Here is a 22581-nt window from a genome sequence, read left to right as displayed (position 1 = left end):
AGGCAGCTCTGCCCCACACAGCTCTCATCCTCCTCACAGGACCAGTGACCTAGTCTGGGCATGTCCTTCTCATGGCCATGGCAGAAGATCAAAACAGAAAAAAAAAAAAAAAAAAAAAAAAAAAAAAAAGCATTAAGGTCTCTCGAGACCTAGGTTCAAAACTAGTAGTGCTCGGTCACTGTTATCTCATTCTATTAGACGAAGCAAGTCTCACGATCAAGGCCACCCCCAAGGTGGGAAAACAGACTCTGCCTCTTTGGGGTAGCAGGTACTGTATAGTCCACATGGCAATGGATGAGCCCATTAACTTAATTGGGCACACTCCTTGACTCATACCATTAGCAAGTTCAGGCTCAGCTTGGCGCCAGTTCTTTTCTCAGTCAGAGGGGATTCAGCTGGGTGCAACGACTCACACCTGTAATGCCAGCTACTCAGAAGGCTGAGGTGGGAGGATCACTTAAGGCCAGGAGTTCAAGACCAGCCTGGGCAATGTAGTGAGACCCTGTCTCTAAAAAAGAAGGGGAGGGATTAAAGGATTCCTTCTTTGGTGCAAACCCAGCATTGATCCAAGCTTGCTTCGTGGAAGCCGTCTAGTTAATATCTGGCACCCAGCCTAGGAGGTGATTTGAAATGGGTAGGAGGGGCTCATAATATCCGGGGATGAGACTCCTGTCCTGAAACCACTCCTGCAAGCTAGGACTTGCTGAGTCCTGAGAAATAGCACTGCTGCTCCCTGCCTGGAACTTTACACATGCCCTGCTCTGAGATTCCTCTTTGTTACGCTCCTACCACCATCCAAATCACCTGCCATTCCTTGTTGGACATTTGTTACCAAAGGCTAAGCATGAAGGTCTTGTCTACCAGTGGAAGCCCCTTTCCTTGCCTGCACCTGAGTCTTTTGCCTGCTTTCATGGAAGTGTCAAGTGTGAGGTCTTGAAATTCAGGCTTTGAATGTCCAGTTTTCAGTAGTCTGTTCTGCTGTATGATAAGCAGCCAAACAGAAACAAAACAAGAATAAACTTTGCTTTTTAAAAACTGCTTTCCTAAGTTTCTTTTTGTCATATTAAGAGCCTAATGTGATGAGAGAACTTTCCACTGAGAAGACCAAACAGTAACAGATAATGTAGGTTACTTCCCTGAAATCAACCACCAAGCAAGTAGACGAGTCCTGACCAAAACCTTGGTCACCTGATGACCAGCTTAGATTCTTTTTCCTGTCCTCTGGCTCTTCTCGTGGTTAGTAAAATTCCTAACAGCGACTGACTGAGGCAGGAACATCATAGTAAGGAATGCACCATGTGTTAATGAGTGCATTTAGGAATCCTGCTGGCCCCTATCCTTTTCACATCCACATGTCTGTCCTGACTGCATGAGGCATCAGAGAGATTGTAAAAGGCGGATCACCCATGCCCTTAGAAATTGCCTATGGCAGTGGTTCTCAAAGAGTGTCCCCAGGGCATCCACATCAGCATCACCTGTTTACCTGGCCTCCACCCCACAGCTACCAAATCAGAAATTCTGGGGATAGTGTGCCCAACAGTCTATGTTTTCACAAGCCCTCCAGGGGATACTAAGGAATGTTCAAGTTTGAGAACCACTGATCTAGAGATCTAAACCATCACCAGCCTAGCAGTGATGGCTTTGGTGGTATATGGGGTGTCTGAAACAAAGTTTTCCTTAAATGCACCAAGAAACCCTTCCCATCTCTACCAGTATTGTAGTCAGACACAAGAATGCAGCATGGATTTAAGAAATTTGGAGGGTTTTTGTTGTTGCTTTAATTTGGTGGGCACAGGTTGGAAACTGTGTAGAGGGATATGGAAACACTGCAAGGATTGCCCCTCTGAGTAATGGGACAAGATAATCAAAATCAAAACCCTTTTGTGTTTTGTGACATTCCTAGTATTTCCTAGCTCTCTCTAGTTCTTTCCTAAGTGTAGGTTCTTATCTTGGTCCCTTTTAGCAATTATTCTCAGTTGTATTATTTCTGGCACAGAATATGTCTAATCCCAAAACAGAGCACATCAGTTATGCAATATTTAATGCTAAGTGACACTGGTTCATCCCATGTGTGGCACTGGGGAAGGGAGGGACTCGCCATTGTGTCGAACATGCCTGCTGGGGAGCAGGAATGTGAAGCTGATTCAGCAGAGGCAGGGCAAATACTGTTTACCCTTTCCTTAAAGAATCAGCCTGGGTCGCCTTCCAGGCAGGCCACCATGTGCTTACCTCTATGGTAGGAGTTGTCACCGAGTGTTAACAAGATAATAAGCCTTCTGAATGCCTGTTTAGCTCCCATCTGCCCTGACTCCTTGAGCAGAGGGTTCATGATTCATGCCTTTGTATTCCAGCCCCGAAGGTTTTTTGTTTGTTTTGTTTTTTTTTTTTTTTTACATTTCAGAGGATTACACAATTACATTTTCTTACTTTCTGACCTGCAAATAGATACCTTAAATGGAATTTTAAAAAAATTATCAAATTAGGTATATCCAAAATGCAACAATTACGCATATAACAATTAATTCACAAAGTGCAATTTTACTGGGACATATCCTAAGAATTGAGGAACAGCCAGTCGGGAGAAATCTGACCAAATTTAGCAATCAACTATTTACAAATCCAAAATCAAAACTCTCTAAATTCCCAAACCAGAAGCTTGAAAGTATTTATTAAATCCCCACCAGACAAAAGAGAGTGATGACTAAAACCTATCCAGTCTTTACAGTTTCAATCCCAAATACTGAGCTATTTCCCCAGTCTGTAACTGAATGGCAAGCATCTGTTTGTCAAACGCCTACCCATCTAACCTTTACACCATTATGCACATAGAAAGGCTAAGTGTTCATTAATTAAAAAACAAGTAGTCATTAAATATCCATACTATTGGCAAAACCCCATCTCTACTAAAAGTACAAAAATTATCCGGGCATGGTGGCAGACCCCTGTAATCCCAGCTACTCAGGAGGCTGAGGCAGGAGAATCGCTTGAACCTGGGAGGTGGAGGTTGCAGTGAGCCGAGATCGCGTCACTGCACTCCACTCTGGGCGACAAGAGCAAGACTTCATCTCAAAAAAAAAAAAAAAAAATCCACACTATTCCCCCAGCCCACCAAGCCCTTACTGCAGTCCCAAATATGCAACTTGTGTCACATAGTGACAGATCATATTTCATATATATATATATACACATACACACACACACACATACAGGATTAGGTACAAATGGCAATTAACAATCCCTACAAAAATTCAACTTCAGTTGAGGCTAGGGCTCCTATGCCTTGAGATGGTTTTGGACTTCAAAACTCAAAAATGCTGCTAAAATCTCACTTCTTTAACACAAAATTTGATTATATGTTCAGTTTAAGCTTCTCAGTTTAAAAATGGCTATAAGGTAAGTATTAAAAAGCCAGCCGTTGGCCCGGCACGGTGGCTCACACCTGTAATCTCAGCACTTTGGGAGGCCGAGGCAGGCGGATCATGAGGTCAGGAGATCAAGAACGTCCTGGCTAACACAGTGAAACCCCATCTCTACTAAAAATACAAAAAATTAGCCGGGCGTGGTGGCTGGCCCCTGTAGTCCCAGCTACTCAGGAGGCTGAGGCAGGAGAATGGTGTTAACCTGGGAGGCGGAGCTTGCAGTGAGCCAAGATTGCGCCACTGCACTCCAGCCTGGGCGACAGAGCAAGACTCTGTCAAAAAAAAAAAAAAAAAGCCAGCCATCCAGCCCTGAAGGTTTAACACCATGAGTGACCACACATCAGTGCTCAGTCCATGTTTGCTGAAGGAACAAATGACCCAGAAAAGCTTTTCAGACTCCATACCTGATAGAGGGGAGCTAGGGAGACTTTGAACAGAAAACCACATTAGGGTGCCTGTTACCTGTGTTTGGAGCAGGCATAACCAGTGGGCAATTACTAGAATCAACCTCCTCAGGGAACCCCAGGTCACAACTTGGGAAAACGCAAGATCACTCATCTAAGGAGATGAGATAAAGAAAATCCAAAACAGAAAGATAAATGCAATGCAGGCTTACCACAATATGCAAAGCAACACTTTGTGCCTATGGCTGCTTTTTAATTTTTATTAAACTTTTTTGAGGTCATTGTAGATTCATAAAAAGTTCTAAGAAATACAGTGAGACCCTATGCACCTGTTACTCAGTTCCCCCAATGAAACTCTAGCAACGCTACAGTACAATAGCATGGTCAGGATACTGACGTTGATACAATATCTTTAGATTCTGTGTTCTGGGCACCTCACCTGCCTGTCTGGTTCGGGCCCCAGAGATCACTCTTAAAATAGACATCTGGGAGGCACCCATTACTAGACTAGGTTAATTGGGAGTCGTGAGTTTCAAGCTAGGGAATTTTAGGATTTTTAATAAGGAGATGTTTAGGTGGTTTATTCCCAGGTTACAAGCAGCCGTGCCCATGATGAGGGTGAGGACAGAGCAGTGGTGCCTAGTGATAGGATCTGCTGGAAGAGGGCTTGGAGGCTCTGGGTGCATTCACCTCCACCAGCCAGCCTGGTGCCTGCATGAAGGAGCCAGGGGGGGTGGGGGCCAGATCCCAGCACACACTGGCCCCGCTCAGTCCTGGGGTGCTTGGATGGAATAAGATTTGAAATAGTGAGCGTTAAACTAGACCAGCTGTCTTACTGAGTAGGGATTCAGGGGCTCTGAAATGAGAGGGAAGAGGTGCCAGGGAGGCAAGGGAGGTTTGTTTGTGAGTGGCTTTGTACCAAAGCCATATGACAGTGGGAGGCAGGTCAGTCATGCACAGCCTGGATGAGTCCCTGGAAGGAAAGACTTGGTCCCTGGTGTGTGCACCTCTCCCTAGTGCCACCTCCTCATCACGTGATAGCTGCCTCTGCAAAATGCACAATAATGTACCAGGCCCCCCAAATCACAGGCATTAGAGAAACCAGCCTCTGGGGCGCTTGGTCCCTGCAAGGATTGGCTTCATAGGGACACCCAATTTACTACTCTTGCAAACCTGTGCTAGACTTGCCTAAGGACATGGGTGCTTCCCTGACTTCACTCTTGCCTGTGGTTTGTTGTTTTGTTTTTTGAGATGGAGTCTTGCTGTGTCACCCAGACTGGAATGCGGTGGTACAGTCTCAGCTCATTGCAAACCCTGAGTCCCAGGTTCAGGCAGTTCTCCTGCCTCAGCCTCCCAAGTAGCTGGGCTTACAGGCACCCACCACCACGCCTGGCTAATGTTTGTATTTTTAGTGGAGGTGGGGTTTTGCCACGTGGTCCAAGCTGGTCTTGAACTCCTGACCTCAAGTGATCTGTTTGCCTCAGCCTCCCAAAGTGCTGGGATTACAGGCGTGAGCCGTGGCACCCAGCCCATTCTTGTGTTTATAAAGAAACATTTTGTATAAAACCACCCGCAATTGTTTAAATTTCTCTTTCCAAGTGAAGTAGGATTCAGCTAGAGCACTGAGGATAACTTCTGTCCCCTCTGACCCCTTCCAGCAAGAGGGAGGTTAAAAGCCAGGACCCAAACTGGTGCCACCGGAGCTGTGGACTGCATCCAGACGCTGTGGGAAACCTAGGGGGCAGAGATGTCACCCCCGACAGAAGGCGGCTGTGCAGGAGATGTGCTGAGTTCGTGCCTGGGGAAGGGAGTCTGGCTACCAGCCTGCAGGGCTTCTGAGCCCACGGCGTCTGTGCAGCCACGGGAAGTGGGACTCACTCGGCTTTCAGCACCACAAAGACAATCAAAGAATCTGGCAGGTAAAGAAAAGGTGCTTTTGAGGGAAAAGGAGTGTAAGGAAAGAAAACGAAGGCACATGAGGGGTTTATGATCTAAACCCAAAATATTGTGTCAGCACGGAGGCCCCGGCTGGGCCCTGCTGAGAGCTGGAGCTGTCCTTCCTTGCCAGGCCTCTGTTGCTATGGCTGTTTGGCAATTTTTACTTCTTAAGAACTATAATTACCTGACTTCAAAGGAAAACAGAGGGAGGGTCAAAGAAGAATTGGAAAGAAAATCCACCCGTATGGCTGGCAGGACATTGTGAGCTGGAATTTCTGCCAAGAAGTTGTGTGCAAGTGTATCCATTTGAGTACATGTGTGCCTATGTGAGCACGAGTGTCTTTGTGTTTGAGGGTGTGTGTTTATGTTTATATGAGTGTGTATACGTGTATGTGTATGCATGTGTCTGCAGGTGTGTGACTATGTGTAAGTATGTGCATGCATCTGAGTGTGTCTGCCGGTGTGTGACCATGTGTGTGTAAGTATGTGCATGTACATGTCTATGGGTTTTCCCATGGTGACTGTCTGACTTAGTGCATGTGTACGTGTGAGTGTGTGCATGCATACATCTGAGGGGGTGGGCAGATGGGTGTAGGGGTGTGCCGAATGGAGCAGAAGCAAAGAGAGAACCAGAAGCAGGACCCCTAAGCAGAGGGCTGACGCAGAAGTAGATGTTAAGGCACTATGCTCTCAGGAGGGGGGTTGCCAAAGTCCAAAATCAAAATACCCCCATTTTCTTGCTGTGACATTTGCTGGGAACCAGAGCCTGATGCCAGCATCCGGTGGACAGCTTGGTCCTTTCTCTCCGGCAGAAGTGAGGAGGTGCAGTCCTTTAGCCTAATTGCCTTGACAGCTGGGTCCTGTCCTTCTGCAAGGGACGCAGCCTCCAGACCTTCCCTTTTCTCCGCATCTCCACATCTTGGTGATGTGAGTTTAGCATCTCTGGCCACAGCACATTAAAACTGCTGCACTTCTGCTTTGCTTGCACGGGGCTTTCAGGTTTTAAAGCAGGCACCAGAAACCTTTCAAAGGTTGCCAGGCAAGTTGCCATCTTTGCCTTTCTGTTAGTGTAATGGGGTGTGTGTTGTGTGTGTGTGTGTGTGTGTAGGAGAAGCTGAGAGACAAATGGCACTAACCTTCAAGAGATAGGCAGAGGGACAAAGAAACAACAACCATCCCTCACCTTCATGTTTCTAAAAATCCTCTTGCTGCTGTCTTCACCAGCTTCATATCTAGGTCAAGCGATTTAGGGCCAGGCTACACTGCTTTTAGCCGTAGGAAAGTCAGCATGTCACTCACCTACTGCCACAAAAACACTGTGCAAATATCATGCCAAAGCTGTGTTACTATTTATTTCATTACATTATTTTATTTACTTTCAACAATTGGGCTGACCCAATATCAGTTGCACCCTTACAGAAGACTGGGACCATCTTGGAGACAGGGGTTCAATGATAGCTCCAGCTCTCAGCAGGGCCCAGTCAGGGCCTCCGTGCTGACACAATATTTTGGGTTTAGATCATAAACCCCTCATGTGCCTTGACTTCAGTCGAGGGACATCAAATGCTGGCTTTGGAGACTGAGGGGTCACAGGACAAGGAAACGGCAGCCTCTAGGAGCTGAGGGTGGCCCCTGGCTGACAGTCCTCAGGGAAACAGGGGCCTCAGTCCTGCAGCACAAGGAAGGAAGTTCTGCCAAGAACCTTAATGAGCTTGGAAGTAGATTCTCTCCCAGGGCCGCATGTGTGAGTTGAAGATGGCAGACACCCTGATCTCAGTCTTTTTTTTTTTTTTTTTTTTTTTTGAAACAGAGTCTCACTCCTTGCCCAGGCTGAAGTGCAGTGGCGTGGTCTCAGCTCACTGCAAGCTCAGTGAGGCAAGCTCAGCCTCCCAGGTTCACACCATTCTCCTGCCTCAGCCTCCCGAGTAGCTGGGATTACAGGCACCCGCCACCACACCCGGCTAATTTTTTTGTATTTTTAGTAGATACAAGGTTTCACCATGTTAGCCAGGATGGTCTTTATCTCCTGACCTCGTGATCCACCCACCTCAGCCTCCCAAAGTGCTGGGATTACAGGCGTGAGCCACCTCGCCCGGCCCTGAACTCAGTCTTGTACAACCCTGAGCAGAGAACAGAGCTGAGCCCTACCTGGGCTTCTGACCAACAAATCTGTGAGCTAATATATGGGTTTTGTCTTATGTGGCTGTTTTGGTGGTAATTTGTGACACACCAATACAGTCTGGCTACCTTATTTGAAGGAGAAAGAAAAAAATACAGAGGGAGCAAAATACAAATTAATATCTTACTGAGTTAGCCTGCCACACCAGAATTGATACCTGGTCTCCCACAGTGAATAGAAATTGCTAGCCTAACTTATCATACCTTCACTGGCATTGAGTTTTATAACTTTATTTTAATGGTTGACAAACGAAAATGTCAACTCATCGTTATTTCAATTTGCATTTCTTTGACTTCTAGTGAGAAACACCCCTTTTCCTAGAATTGTTAGTACAGTGGCTGTCAGGAGCAGGCTTTCTTCATTTGTAGCTGGATGGATTTTCTATTTACCTTTTACAGCTAATTTCTGTTTCTACAGAACTTCCTATTCATTAGGTACTTTATAAATATATGCTGATTAAATGTTCGAATTAATAAGTACTGAATGAAGAAATGAGTCTTCAACAACAGGCAGGGGCTTTTGCTGCTGAGAAATTGAGTGTCTTGGTGACAGGACAGGACTTCAGAGTGGCCCAGGGAGTGTCTTGGTGACAGGACAGGACTTCAGAGTGTCCCAGGGAATCCCAGCTCTGTAAAGCAGAGGCCCTCCTGACATTCAACCGTCCTCGGCCATGTCAGCCGGTGAGGTAGGTGGCCAAGCAGTGGCCCTTGAGGAAGAAGCAGTTACAGAGCAGATGAAGAGCTGAGTGTGGAAGGAGCGTTGGAAGTCACGGTGGACAGATGTCTGCAGCCAGTCTGTTTGCTCTGGGCTGAATGGTTGAGAATTAGAGACACAGTGGCTGCTTTAGTCCACTGCTTTATGTCATGAAAGATATAAGATTAGGTCAGAGTTATGATTTGTTGGAAAATACTTTTTTTTTTTTTTTTTTTTTGAGAATCTTGCTCTATTGCCCAGGCTGGAGTGCAATGGTGCCATCTCGGCTCGCTGCAACCTCTGCCTCCCAGGTTCAAGAGATTCTCCTGCTTCAGCCTCCCGAGTAGCTGGGATTACAGGCACCCGCCACCACGCCTAGCTAATTTTTTGTATTTTTAGTAGAGACGGTGTTTCCCCATGTTGGCCAGGATGGTCTCGATCTCCTGACCTCATGATCCACCCGCCTCGACCTCCCAAAGTGCTGGGATTACAGGCGTGAGCCACTGTGCCCGGCCAGAAAATACTTCTTTCTTTTCAACAAGTTCACTTGTTTAGACACTTATTTAAAAAGTAACATATTTGCTATTTAATATACTTCAAACAGTTTAGGAGTGCAGTATATATATTTTTTAAGGCAAAAGAAATCTTTTGACCCCTTAATCTCAATTCCTCCAAAAGTGAGCTTTGATTTATACACATAATATTGAAAGAAAAATGGATCAGCTGGGCACAGTGACTCACGCCTGCAATCCCAGCACTTTGGGAGGCTGAGGCAGGTGGATCACAAGGTCAGGAGATCGATACTATCCTGGCTAACACGGTGAAACCCCGTCTCTACTAAAAAAAAAAATACAAAAAATTAGCTGGGCATGGTGGTGGACGCCTGTAGTCCCAGCTACTCGGGAGGCTGAGGCAGGAGAATGGCGTGAACCTGGGAGGCGGAGCTTGCAGTGAGCCGAGATAGGGCCACTGCACTCCAGCCTGGGTGACAGAGCAAGACTCCGTCTCAAAAAGAAAGAAAGGAAGAAAGAAAGAGAGAGAGAAAGAAAGAAAGAAAGAAAGAAAGAAAGAAAGAAAGAAAGAAAGAAAGAAAGAAAGAAAGAAAGAGAGAGAAAGAGAAAGAAAGAAAGAGAGAGAGAAAGAAAGAAAGAAAAAGAAAAATGGATCAAGCTGTATGTACTGCCTGCGACGTATTTTGTTTTCACATAACAAAATATCTTGGATATATTTTCATAGACACAGGTTTCAGATCAGGAAATCAGGATCCATAGACTCCCAAAGGCCTCCACAGATAAACTTGAGAATCTCATGGACCCTGAAGTTATATGTGCATCTTCAAGGGCTTGCAGGCATTCCGTAAGTATCCAGGCATTCTATCAACCCAAAGATATAAAAACCAAACAGCCCCATACCATTTTCAAGTCTTTTTTTTTTTAAACATTGCTGTGCCTTTTATGAAATTGCCTCTAAATGCTGGATATCCTCAAGCTTAGAATCTCTAACTCTGTAACCTACACAAGCCTTGTTGTTCATCCTGGGAGATTAAGAGTATTTATTAAGTCAAAGCAGAGATAAAAAAATCCCTTTCCTCTCTTCCCTTCCATATGTCTGAGCAGGGGATACTGGGGACTCTTGGGGGATTCATTTTAGATGTGTCTGCCTGTCCTGGTCTTGTTGCTGACTCTCTGCAGATTTGATTGTTTCTGTCTCAGTGTGGGCACCGTTAAACAGGCAATGGGTTAAACATCAAAGCCTGGGTCCTCATCGACCAGGTCAATGAGGACTCTACCCCCTGAGATTTGCACTGCCCCTCACAGGGCAGTGTCTGCATGACTTGGCGGGGGCTGCCCCTCTGTGAACGGCAGCCACGATGTGGACCATCTCTTCCCCACGTGTGGCTGTGCCAGGTTGCAGGGAATGGTGGGGTGAGAGGAGACCTAGCATCTCCTTAGGAAATACTAGTTTGAATAAGTCGTTCAAATTTGAAGTTTGGGTTTTGCTAAACTGCCCTTTGGGGCGACAGAGTGGGATGGTGTGTGAGTGCAGGCATAGGACTGCCAACGCAAGCCATGGGCCCCTATTTGGAAATGAACATGCTTTCTTGCCTTGAATGCCAGTGGCTTGCCTGAGATCCTGGAGTGCATAACAGGGCGCATAAACCAAGGCTCCAAACTCCACAAACTGGAGCAAAGTTGGTGCATCAGTCTGAGTCCTCTGAGAAGCAGAACTCAAGATTGGAATGAGATGCACATGAGATTTATTGGACAAGATGTCAGTGGAGGATAGAGGGGGCAGACAGGAGGAGGCAGAGAGCGCCTTCAGATCTTGAGACAAGTCTGACTCCTTTGGCAGGTGAGAGGGAAGGAAGGAGTGGGTAGAAAGAGCCTTAGACCACAGTCTTGGATGGTCAGGGTTTCCCAGGCAAAGGCTGCTCATCAGAAGAGTCATGCATTGCATGGAATGAACAGTGGACTGTTCAGTAAAAACTGCTCAGTATTGGCTGGGCACGGTGGCTCACGCCTGTAATCCCAGCACTTTGGGAGGCTGCGGTAGGCAGATCACCTAAACTCAAGAGATCAAGACCATCCTGGCCAACATGGCAAAACCCTGTCTCTACTAAAAATACAAAAATTAGCTAGGCATGGTGGCATGTGCCTGCAGTACCAGCCACTCGGGAGGCTGAGGCACAAGAATCGCCTGAACCCGGGAGGCAGAGGTTGCAGTGAGCCGAGATCGTGCCACTGCACTCTAGCCTGGGCGACAGAGTGAGACTCCATCTCAAACAACAACAAAACAAAAACAACATCCCCCAAAAAAAAACCTGCTCAGTATCTAACACATGTTAAAAGAGGCGTCACTAATGAATGCAGAAATGAAAGATTTCTCCATCAAGGATGACGAGCAAGATTTTGAGGGGAAGTATCCACGTTGACTTTATTACACACCAAAATAAAGTGCAGATTGAATAGAACTGAGTTATTTATTTCTTTTTTTTTTTTTGAGACAGAGTCTCGCTCTGTCTTCGAGCTCAGTTATTTTTTAAAATAGAAAAAATTAAGAGAGAATAACTCCTTGGTCTCTGGATGGAGTAAAGATTTTCTGAGCTTAGTAGTGGAAGGCATTAAAAAGAAAAAGATGAATAGATTTGAGTACACACAAAAATTATACATCAAGCATTACAAAATAAATGAAAGGCAAATTATGGGCTTATAAAAACCTCACTCTTCCCTCAATAAAATTGAGAAAGGACTTAGAGTGTTAGCAAATAAATCATTCATATGAATCAATGAGAAAACCTAGAATATTCCATTAAGTAAAGTGGCAAATAAAAAGTTTAGGAAACTCAGAAAGATGAAATATAAACACGTTATAAAGAAATGACAATTGGGCGGGCGTGGTGGCTCACACCTATAATCCTAGCACTTTGAGAGGCTGAGGCGGGCAGATCACCTGAGGTCAGGAGTTCCAGACCAGCCTGGCCAACATGGTGAAACCCCATCTCTACTAAAAATACCAAAAATTAGCCGGGTGTGGTGGTGGACACCTGTAATCCCAGCTACTCAGGAGGCTGAGACAGGAGAATCACTTGAACCCAGGAGGCAGAGGTTGCAGTGAGCCGAGATTGTGCCATTGCACTCCAGCCTGGGCAACAAGAGTGCAACTCTGTCTCAAAAAAAAAAAAAAGGAAATGACAATTTAGTCAACCTTCCTAAGACTCAAAGAAAAACAAAGGTGAAGAAAATATACCAAATTTTGCCTCTTCAACTAGTAATTAATGCTAGCTATTATGAAGATGTGGTAGGAAAGCCATACATTTTCATATCTAATGATTTGGGAAAATAAAATTTTACAATCCATTTGAAAATCCATTTGGCAGCTTGTGTCAAATGCTTAAAACATTTTAATATACTTTAAGTGGAAACAACCACAAAAGTTTAAATTGTATATGTAATCAACGTAGAGTAAATAAAAGTACTGGGAAAAGGGAAGAAAATATTAATATGCCCAAACCTTGCAATATTACACGCTGGATATTTGGTGTTTTCTTTTCCATATTTTTTTTCTAATTTTTAAATTTTTTACAATGACTTTTATTTTCAGCAAAAAAAAAAAAAAAAGATTAATAACACAAAGTGCTAAGTGGATTCCACGCACCACTCCAAAGAAATCACTGTTGCTACATTGTCACAGCATCACAGGCATTAAGATACAATGCTGAAACAAACAAACATATCACTTTGTTCATAATAGAATGACAGCACATTAATCCAATCAATAGATAGTTATTTGGTGATCTCCATGCAATCTCCCACTAAATGGAATTTTCTATATTTTATTCAACAGAAGAGGTCATGTTTAGACTTAAAGGTTAATGAGTAGGGCTTCTTCAGGCAGAAAGGCAAGAGGAGCCCTCCCAACCCAGCCCCCAACTCATCCCCTGGCACAGGAGGACCATGCACCTGGACAGGAAGCCTGGGCCAGCTGTGTGGGCAGAGAAGAAGGTGGATGAATGAGGAGGTACACAGGAAGGTAGGGGATGGATGACTAAGAGCCACAGAGGAGCTCAGAACTGCCCCCTGTGGAAGTCGGGGGCGTGAGTGATAGAAACTCGGGAAGGATTTTGACCCTAAACCTGACATAATTAGCAGTGTCTGTTGAGGAAGGATCAGCAATGCAGAGAATAAACTGAGGGGTGGGGAAAGACTGTACAGAGGGCGACTCCTCTGGAAGATGATGAAATTCTAAACAAGGGCAATTATAGTTGAGACAAAACCAATAATGGATTAGAATTTCAGCTCCCCAGAGGGCTTTCTGGGGGGGCCATTCCTGTTTTCCCCTAAAGAAAATAGTGGGCCAATAGTAGTATATAAATATTTGTTGAATGAATGAATCAGGAAAAAGATACACTATATTTCTTTCTTTCTTTTTTTTTTTAAAGACAGTTTTAGCTCTTGTTGCTCAGGCTGGAGTTCGGTGGTATGATCTCAGCTAACTGCAACCTCTGCCTCTCGGGTTCAAGTGATTCTCCTGCCTCAGCCTCCTGAGTAACTGGGATTACAGGCACCCACCACCATGCCTGGCTAATTTTTTTTGTATTTTTAGTAGAGATGAGGTTTCACCCTGTTGATCAGGCTGATCTTGAACTCCTGATCTCAGGTGATCCACCTGCCTCGGCCTCCCAAAGTGCTGGAATTACAGGCATGATACACTATATTTCTTATAATGTAATGCTGGAAGGGCCTGATGAGTTCCTGAATGTAAAAGGTAGTGATGGAGGATTTCAGAAAGGCCACAAACAATAATTCCTCAAAACAATGACATCTCAATCAGTAAATTCATCCAGTGTTGCCTCATACATTTCTTTAAATATTACTGCATTGCAGTGATTCTGGTTATAACTCTACAGGCCATCAAAATATTTTCAAAGGCCACTGTTTTTCTTGTAAATGTGAACATACGCATTGTATAGAATAAACTCCTTGCTAGGATTAATAAAAAAGCTTTTTTTTTTTCCTGTTTGGTTTTCTTGTAATTTTAGTTTTTTTTTTTTAATACAGAAGTGTTACATTTTTATCCAAACATGACAAAGTATCTCTTTGATATCTGATACTTCCTCAAAACTGAACCATTGTTTCAATGTCAATTTCCTCATGCAAAGTGTTATCACTGGGGGAAACTGGGTGAAGAGTACACAGAATATAATATTTCTTACAACTGCAGGTGAATCTACAAGATCTCAAAATAAAAAGCTATTTTAAAAGCCTGAATGATTCACCTTCCTCACTGATGATCTTTCACACTGTTATGTCAAAAGGAAATCTTGGATTTACATACAGCCCCTGGAGATGGTTCATTGTCTTGTCATTTCTTTTTCATTGAGCCCAGAGGAGAAGATTGTTGCTATGCTGTTGTCATTGCAGCTTTTCTTTTTTTCAGTTGCATTTCCAAAGTAAATATCTCTCTTATTTGCAGCCTCTAAATTGCAAGATTGTCGCCATGGTTATTCTTGCTGCTCCTCTGAGCTTTATCACTTCCTCTCCGGATGCGGTTTGTTCTGCTTGTAGGTTTGCCTTCGCCTCAAAGGAGCGAAAAATGAATCATTTCAGAGTGCTCTGTGCACCAACATAGTGCGATGTTGTCTACCTTTATATGATTCAGTCGAAACGACATGGAAAAGTTCCTGGTTTAATTGATATGGTCCTCTGATTGTTGTTGACAACTACAGATACACTGTCCTAGCCATGTGGATGGCAAAAGCAGCCCCATATATGTCATCTGGGGTGGCGTTCAGGTGGTGAAGATGGGAATTGGTTGTGCAGACAAAAGTTTTGCCTGAGTCTCTTCCTGTCCTTTGCTCTCCTCTTGTTGATTCTGCGAGGATGTCTCTGGTCTTGAGGCATCCTGTGGCTCATATGGTCACCTGTGGCCCTCCAGACTTTATCACCACCAGGCTCATTCCAGAGGCCAAAATGCCAGTGGTTAGAGGGTGTCTGCATCTGACCTGCAGGAGGTGAGATACTCTTGGCTGGGTGTGTCTGGTTGCACGAACACCCTATAGTCCATTGCCCTGTTTATGTGTTTTCTGTCACTGTTGCAGCCACATCCTTCCTGGGAACTGTAGCACAGCCTCCCAGCTGACGCCCCTGAGTGCCCTTTGGCCCTTCTCCAATCCATTCTCCACAGGCAGCTGGAGCAATCACTTTAAAATGCACAATTGATTACATCACACCCTTGCTTACTGCCTTTAGTGACTCCCACATACCTAAAAATAAATCGAACTATGGCACGTGCTCCCCTGTCCCCTCCACCACACATGCCTGCCAGCTAATGGTCCCATCTCTGCAGGACACCCTCCAGCTGTGTGCATCAGGCACATGCAGGCCAGGGCCCCTTCAGAACAACTGTGCAGCAGCCATAGGCGCAGCATGGAGCCCAGGGATTCAGAAATGGGGAGGAGTTGAGCTTGGTGTCCTTGCCAGTGTCCTATGAGTTTAGGAGTGTGATATTATGAGATAAATATTTGGCCTTTGAATCCATTTCCTGACATACACCTCCTAAAATCCTTAGAATCTCCAAAGTGATGTACTTTTGAATGCTGATGAGTTGGCTGATGGCTGGCAGCCCCTAGGTAGCTTCAGGGTGAGGCTGGTCATTGGAAAGACCAAGGCAGGATTAGAGGGTTGAGATTTTCAGCCCCACCCTGAACTCCAGGGAGGGGAGAAAAGCTGAAGGTTAAGTTGACCATCAATGGCCAATCCTGCCTATGTCACAAAGCTTCCATGAAAACCCAAAAGGACACAGTTCTAAGAATTTCTAGGTAGCTGAACCCATGGAGGTTCCCGGAGAGAGTCACACTCAGGGAGAGCATGGAAGCTCCGCACCCCTTCCCCTATACCTCGCCTATCCATCTCTTCATCTGTATCCTTTGTAACATCCTTTATGGTAAACCTAAGGGTTTCCCCGAGTTCTGCGAGCCACCCTAGCAAATTAATAAAGAGGGGGTCTTTATCAATTTATAGCTGGTTGTCAGAAGTTCCCGAGGCCTGTACTAGTGAGTGATGTCTGAAGGTCAGGGGTGGTCTTGGGGGACTAAGCCCCCAACCCCTGGGATCTGACGCTGTCTCCAGGTAGAGAGTGTCAGAACTTAACTGGAGGACCCCCAGTTCATGCCGGTGTCCATGTCTGGGCAGTTTGCTCGGTGGTGGGGAGAAATCCCCACACATTTGGTCGTAGAAGCCTTCTGTGTTGATTGTTGTGGCGCGGCGTGAGAACAGAAGAACTGTTGGAGTTTTTTCACCCTCAGAGAGTGTTCTCACTTCTGGCTCCACTTCCTCCCAAGGTGTCTGGGGCACGAGTTCTGCCGGATGGCAGCGTAACTGGCTTTGGTGTTGATTTATGAGTCACCACTGGGGTGAGATGAGGGAGGCAGACTCAAGTACGTGATTACAGGGCACCAAGAGACCACCTGCCCAACAGATCTTCACTCATTGCCTTACCAAACCTGAAATTACCTTAGCAAAAGCAAGTAAATGTGGCCACTCTAGGGCCCCGACCTGGATTCCTAGCCAGACCAGCCACTGGTGCTCTCTATCTGATGCAGCCAGGTTGGTCTCTCTCAACCTCCCCAAACATGCCCATGCCTTCCTGCTCCTCTCTACCTGGGCATGGGCTATGCCCACCTCCAGGAGGTCCACCATGAAGGCGTGAGCCCAGTAATATGGAAATGTCTGTTATCAGGGCCTTTAGGGTATCCTGTGATGGTGGGAAGGGGATGCTAGCACGGGGCCAGGAACAGCAGGAGGTTTGAGGCTGCATTGGAGAAGGACAGAGCTGGGCTCTTGAATCCTAAGGCTTTCATCTCAGGCATGAATCTGGTGACATCAGGACATTCTCCAGAGCCCATTGGTACAGGCAGATTAGGGCAGGTTTGAGAGATTCTAGAATCAGGTAGATAGTACATTTTGGCATGTCTAGATAATTGAGCTTAGAAATCAAGCAATCCAGCCCCTCACTTTACAGTTAAGGAAATGGAGGTTCAGAGAGATTCTGAGCTCTTCCCCATCTTACATCTGGAAGAGGCCAGGCCAGGGCTCAGATCCAGGGCCTTTCATGAAGCAGCCAGGGCCACATGCCTGGATCACAGCTGGAAAGCTATGCCCTAGCAGGGCTGCTGTTTGCAGCTGTTCAGGCCTTGCCTTGCTTTTTATAGACTGAAGTATGAGCAACACTGCCTGGGGGTGAGCAGTGCACACACTGCACCACTGTCCGGGGAGGCTCTGAGTCAGAGTCAAAGCAAAGGCCTGAGAGCTCCCATCAGAGAGGTCCCATCTCTTGGGCTGGGCTGGGTATGTGGTGAAAATGGAGGCAGGAGGGTGACTCGGAACCTGGACAGCAGTGATGGGTCCCCATCCATGGACACTGGAATTTAGGGTGGAAGACTGGCATTTGGAAAGGCAGGTAAGAACAGACCACTGCCCTGGAGGAAATTTGGGTCTGGGTATAAAGGCATAGAGTGGCAAGATGAGGACCACTCCCCAGAGTCGAGGGTTCATTTGGTCATGAGGGGTCATGAGGGAGGCCCTTGTTACTGCGCCTAGAGTTCAAAGTGCTGCTCACTGAGCCCATGAGCACCTGGCCGGGACACAACATCCTTCCTCCTAGGCTGTGGGCCACACCAGAGCCCAGCCAGCTGGTCAAACTGAGTCAGGAGCAGAGTCCAGCAGGCTTTTACAGCAGACAGACCCTGGAACTCAAAGGGCAGGAGCAGGGCATGGACAGGGGCCACAGTCCCTACAAGCAGGCAGATGCCAAGACCTCTCTGGGAGGTGAAGGTTCAGGTAAAGTGAGCCACGCATCACCTGGGGGTTCAACACTGAATAAAGTATTGACAGAAGTTGGTAATCCCTCAGAGTCACAGGAGTTCAGCTTGCAAGCCATTTGTATGTCACTGTTGTATTTGATTTCGCAAGAACCCCGTGATGAGGTGTTGTCACACGCATGTTACCCACGTGAACTTCACAGGTTACAGGAATGGACAAAACGGGAATTTGAACCTAAGTCCTGGCCTTCCTGGGACGCCCATCCTGCACCACCGCGCCCTCTTCTGGTCACAGAGGGAACTTTTGATGTTAGGCTCAGCTGGTCGTGGGCCCTAACGTAGGGAACAGAGAGGTGTAGGCACTTGACTCAGGTGATGGTGGAGAAGGGCGCGGGGGTGGCTGTAATTAGGGCACAGGTGAAACAGGAGCTTCTAGTAGGTAGATCCTGACCGTGGAGAGAGCATCACGTGTCTGAGCCTGTAAGCAACATTTTGCCGCAACAGGGATGGGAGAACAATTCTCCCAGGCAGCTGCCTCTCACACCGCATCTCTATGTGTTCCCCACAGGCCGTTTCTCCTGCTGGGACACTTTTCCTCTTTCTTATAGGTGAACCTTTTAGTGTTCAGATGTCCTTCCCCGCCCGGCAGGCCAAGGAATAAGCCTAGGCCCACAACTCTATCTTCTGTGTTTCTACAGGCCTTATTTCACATGGTGTTAATTGTAAAGTGTTTTATGATTTTTCTTTCTTAAAAAGCAGCATGGGCTGGGCGCAGTGGCTCACGCCTGTAATCCCAGCACTTTGGGAGGCCAAGGCAGGTGGATCACCTGAGGTCAAGAGTTCAAGACCAGTCTGGCCAACATGGCGAAACCCGGTCTCTACTAAAAATACAAAAATTAGCCAGTCTTGGTGGCAGGCGCCTATAATCCCAGCTACTCAGGAGGCTGAGGCAGGAGAATCACTTGAAGCCAGGAGGCAGAGGTTGCAGTGAGCCAAGATGATGCCATTGCACTCCAGCCTGGGTGACAGAGTGAGACTCCATCTCAAAAAAAAAAAAAAAAAAAAAAAAAGACAACAAACAAAGTAGGATGTTCTCTTTGCAGGTAATGTGGAAAATGTTAAAAAAAATACAGAAGCAAAATAAAAATCACTCTCAATCCAGCTCTCAAGATATAAATGATATAAATCCCATTAGCGTTTGCATGCATCTCCTTTCAAATCATAAGTGCACCATTGGATATGTACTTCACTAATCATGCTATATTCGATGTTGTTGAATAGCATTACCTACGGAAGCGTTATGAAATGTTCTATAAGCCCTCTTTTGCATAGCCTCATCACATTTCATTCTGTGGCTGGCCCATAATTTATATAGTCATTCTTCTTTTATTGGCCATTTCTATTGTCTTTAATCTTACTATTATGAACCATGCTATAAGGAAAAGGTGGTTTGTGAATCTTGATTGCTGGGGTGGAGTCCTGGAAGCAAAATCAAGAGGTCAAAGGATCCAAACAGTTTTAAAGCTCACTATGGTCATGGCCCCACTGCCTCCCAGATGAGCAGCAGCGGTTTCCCCATGGACAGGTGTGAACGTACCCATTGTTCCTGTTCTGCCCTGAACAGCAGGGAAGGTGGGAACACCCTCTCACTTTTTTTTCTTTGAGACAGAATCTTGCTCTTGTTGCCCAGGCTGGAGTGCAGTGGCACGATCTCTGCTCACTGCAACCTCCATGTCCTGGATTCAAGTGATTCTCTTGCCTCAGCCTCCTGAGTAGCTGGGATTACAAGCATGCACCACCATACCTGGCTAATTTTTTAAAAAATTATTTTTAGTAGAGATGGGCTTTTGCCATGTTGGCCAGGCTGGTCTGGAACTCCTGACCTCAGAAGATCCAACCACCTCAGCCTCCCAAAGTGCTAGTATTACAGGCGTCAGCCCCTGCACCTGGGCCTTACTTTTGTTTTAATGTGCCCTTATTTAATTGTCAGTCCAGTTGAGTATCTTCTGCAGATGTGGCTGAAGTCTCTAAAGGAACCCAATGAACAGCAGTTACTTTCCCTACCCACAGAACCAGCAATTTCAGAAATAAGGCCGAAGAGGGACAGAAGGGGCTAAAATACTACCTCAAGTCTTGATAAAACAAAGGCAGAGGCTGCAGCCTCCTGTGGTTGCCAGCTGGGCCTGCTAGATGAGTTATGAATTCAGCAACACCCCCTCTCTCCATCCCAGGCTGACTTCGCTGGACTGACAGCTGGACAGAGAGCTGGCTCGGCCTTCCTTGGTGTGGGAACTGCCTGGGAGACTCAGCATAAAGGAGCAGAGGTGGATCGCTCCTGCAGGCATGTGGTTCCCAAAACAGAAAAGGGGACAGGTGAGCTGAGATCCCAGAGTTTACTTTTCTGAAATGGACTGGCCAGAATTATCTACTTCTCTTAGGGGACAGCTAAGGAATGGGCTGCAAAGAGGTGGTAGGTTTGGAAAAATTTACCAATAAGGCTGTTTGGAGAGTGGGGATGAAGCATTTCTCTACTGCTTTAATCAACCAACTGTATGTTTCTTCTATTAGTGTTATTTTGCATACTATCTACTGGTATTGGCATGTAAAAGTGGTTTGTTAAAGGTCTTTTAAAATGTTTCATTTGTCTTTTCCTCTTATATGAAGTTTTTGAATTATGAGAGTTTTCAATTATTTATTTAGCCACATCTACTATTTTTGACATGCCATTCAATCCTGCAAATCAGCCACCACCATCATCGTCTTTATCGTATTTGTGTGAGTTCTCTGTGCCAAGCAACCCGCGAAGAGTAGTTGCACATGTATCTTGTCATTACATCCTCACAGCAGTTCCTGTGAGGAGGGAATGAGTGCCCAAGACGAGGTTTTGTCAGGTGCAGTGAATCACCAATAACACAGATGAGGTCGTGTCAGGGTGGTCTGACTCTGACTGCCACCCCAGTGGCCACGTCACCCTGGAGTCAAGAATTGTGGCTCAGGGCTCACATACCAGGCCCAAGCGTTTGGGAAATAAAAATACTCATTTATTTGGGTTTCTAATTATTATGCCAGGAAATGAGCATGTTATTGCTGGTAATTCTTTGTAAGAATGATAAGGATTCCAATTTAGGAAAGATAAAAAGCTATGCGAGAGGCTGTGACTCATTTTAATGCTCTGTTTTGAGAAATATCAAAAGCTGCCACAGATTTATCCATCTGCCTAGGAACTCAGCTTTTCCCAGAAGCGTTCTCATGCTTGCTACTGTTGGTGGTCTCTTCTCCACATTTTATGGTTTTTTTCAGTTACAAAAGTAAATTGTATTCATTGAAAAAGTTTGAAAACCGTAGTAATATATTTAAAAAATAGTTAATAGCCAGCTACCCCCTTCTCTCATCAACCTATTAAAATAATACTTAATAGTAATTCCTGAAATAATAAATAACTTGAATATTTAATCAATTAATAATAAGTACAACCATTCATACAGCACTTACAAGGTGCTGGGAACATAGCTTAGCTCATTTAATCCTCAAAATACTACACTGAGGTCAGCACTATCCTTATTCTTGTTTCACAAGTGAGAAAACTGAGGCACAGAGAAGTTGAAAGCTGCCTAAGGTTCTGCAATGAATGAGTGCCACTGTCAGAATTCCAACACAAAGGACCAGCTGCAGAGCCCAGGATCTTAACTACTCTGCTAATCCTTGTGGGCAAAAATTATGCATATGTAAATGCTCTTTGCTTAAATACAGATGTGGATGGATGAACGTATGTAGGTCAGCCTACCACCATTTTTCCCTTTTCCTCTTGCTTTTTTTTTTCTTTACAGGAAAATTACTTGTTTTATTTCATAATATATTTGCATGCTTTTCCAGCTATAAACATAGAGAATTAAGTTCATCTTTGACAATAGTTGTCTCATAATTCATGGTCAAATATGCTATATTTAGCCATTTCATTACTCACAGGCATTTAGATTCTTTCCATTTGTTTTCTCTTGAAATCAATGCTGCAATAAACATCCCTATGCACAAAACTGTATATAGTTTGCTTTTTCAATCAATAGAATGATTGCTAATATTGAGATTTCATATTTAAATTTTTTTTTTTTAGATGGAATCTTGCTCTGTCATTCAGGCTGGAGTGCAGTGGCATTATCTCGGCTCACTGCAACCTCCACCTCCAGGTTCAAGTAATTCTCATTCCTCAGCCTCCTGAGTAGCTGGGACTACAGGCATGCACCACCACACCTGGCTAATTTTTGTATTTTTAGTACAGACGGAGTTTCACCATGTTGGCTAGGCTGATCTCAACTTGAACTCCTGACCTCGTGATTTGCCCGCCTCGGCCTCCCAAAGTGCTGGGATTACAGGCATGAGCCACCGTGCTCAGCCTGACCTCATCACCTCTTAAAGGTCCCACCTCTCAACACTGTTGCTTTGGAGATTAAGTTGCCAACACACGAACTTTGGGGGACACATTCAAACAGCAGCAGTGATGGAAGGTGGTCATGGGATTGTCTTTATGGGGGAATGAGCCTGTAATACACAGACTTTCACTCAGAGGCAGAGGCAAAGCTTTCCTCACTAAATGGATATTAGAGGGCAGGGAAGACAAGAATTCAGATGTGC

The 22581-nt window shown here is 45.4% G+C and overlaps 1 long non-coding RNA gene across 2 annotated transcripts, besides 1 other annotated feature; it reads left to right on the top strand.

Moving 5' to 3' along the window:
• Positions 1-5463: 5463 nt before the first annotated feature.
• LOC105373933 (uncharacterized) lies at positions 5464-21986 on the top strand. Of its 2 annotated transcripts, XR_007088124.1 has the most exons (4): positions 5464-5742; positions 9876-9989; positions 20184-20325; positions 21529-21986. It is a non-coding gene; the product is annotated as an uncharacterized LOC105373933 (long non-coding RNA). The 2 variants fall into 2 exon arrangements; XR_923992.3 differs by lacking the exons at positions 5464-5742; positions 9876-9989 and adding an exon at positions 16580-17591.
• Positions 16326-16375: an enhancer, noted in NCBI's record as "active region_17352". NCBI's record gives its function as "activates an Ori minimal core promoter by ATAC-STARR-seq in GM12878 lymphoblastoid cells {active_cell/tissue: GM12878}" and the evidence as "EXISTENCE:reporter gene assay evidence [ECO:0000049][PMID:35858748]".
• Positions 21987-22581: the final 595 nt, after the last annotated feature.

This window comes from Homo sapiens, chromosome 2, assembly GCF_000001405.40.
Source record: "Homo sapiens chromosome 2, GRCh38.p14 Primary Assembly".
Classification (NCBI taxonomy): domain Eukaryota; kingdom Metazoa; phylum Chordata; class Mammalia; order Primates; family Hominidae; genus Homo; species Homo sapiens.
This window is presented reverse-complemented; position numbering and strand designations above follow the sequence as displayed.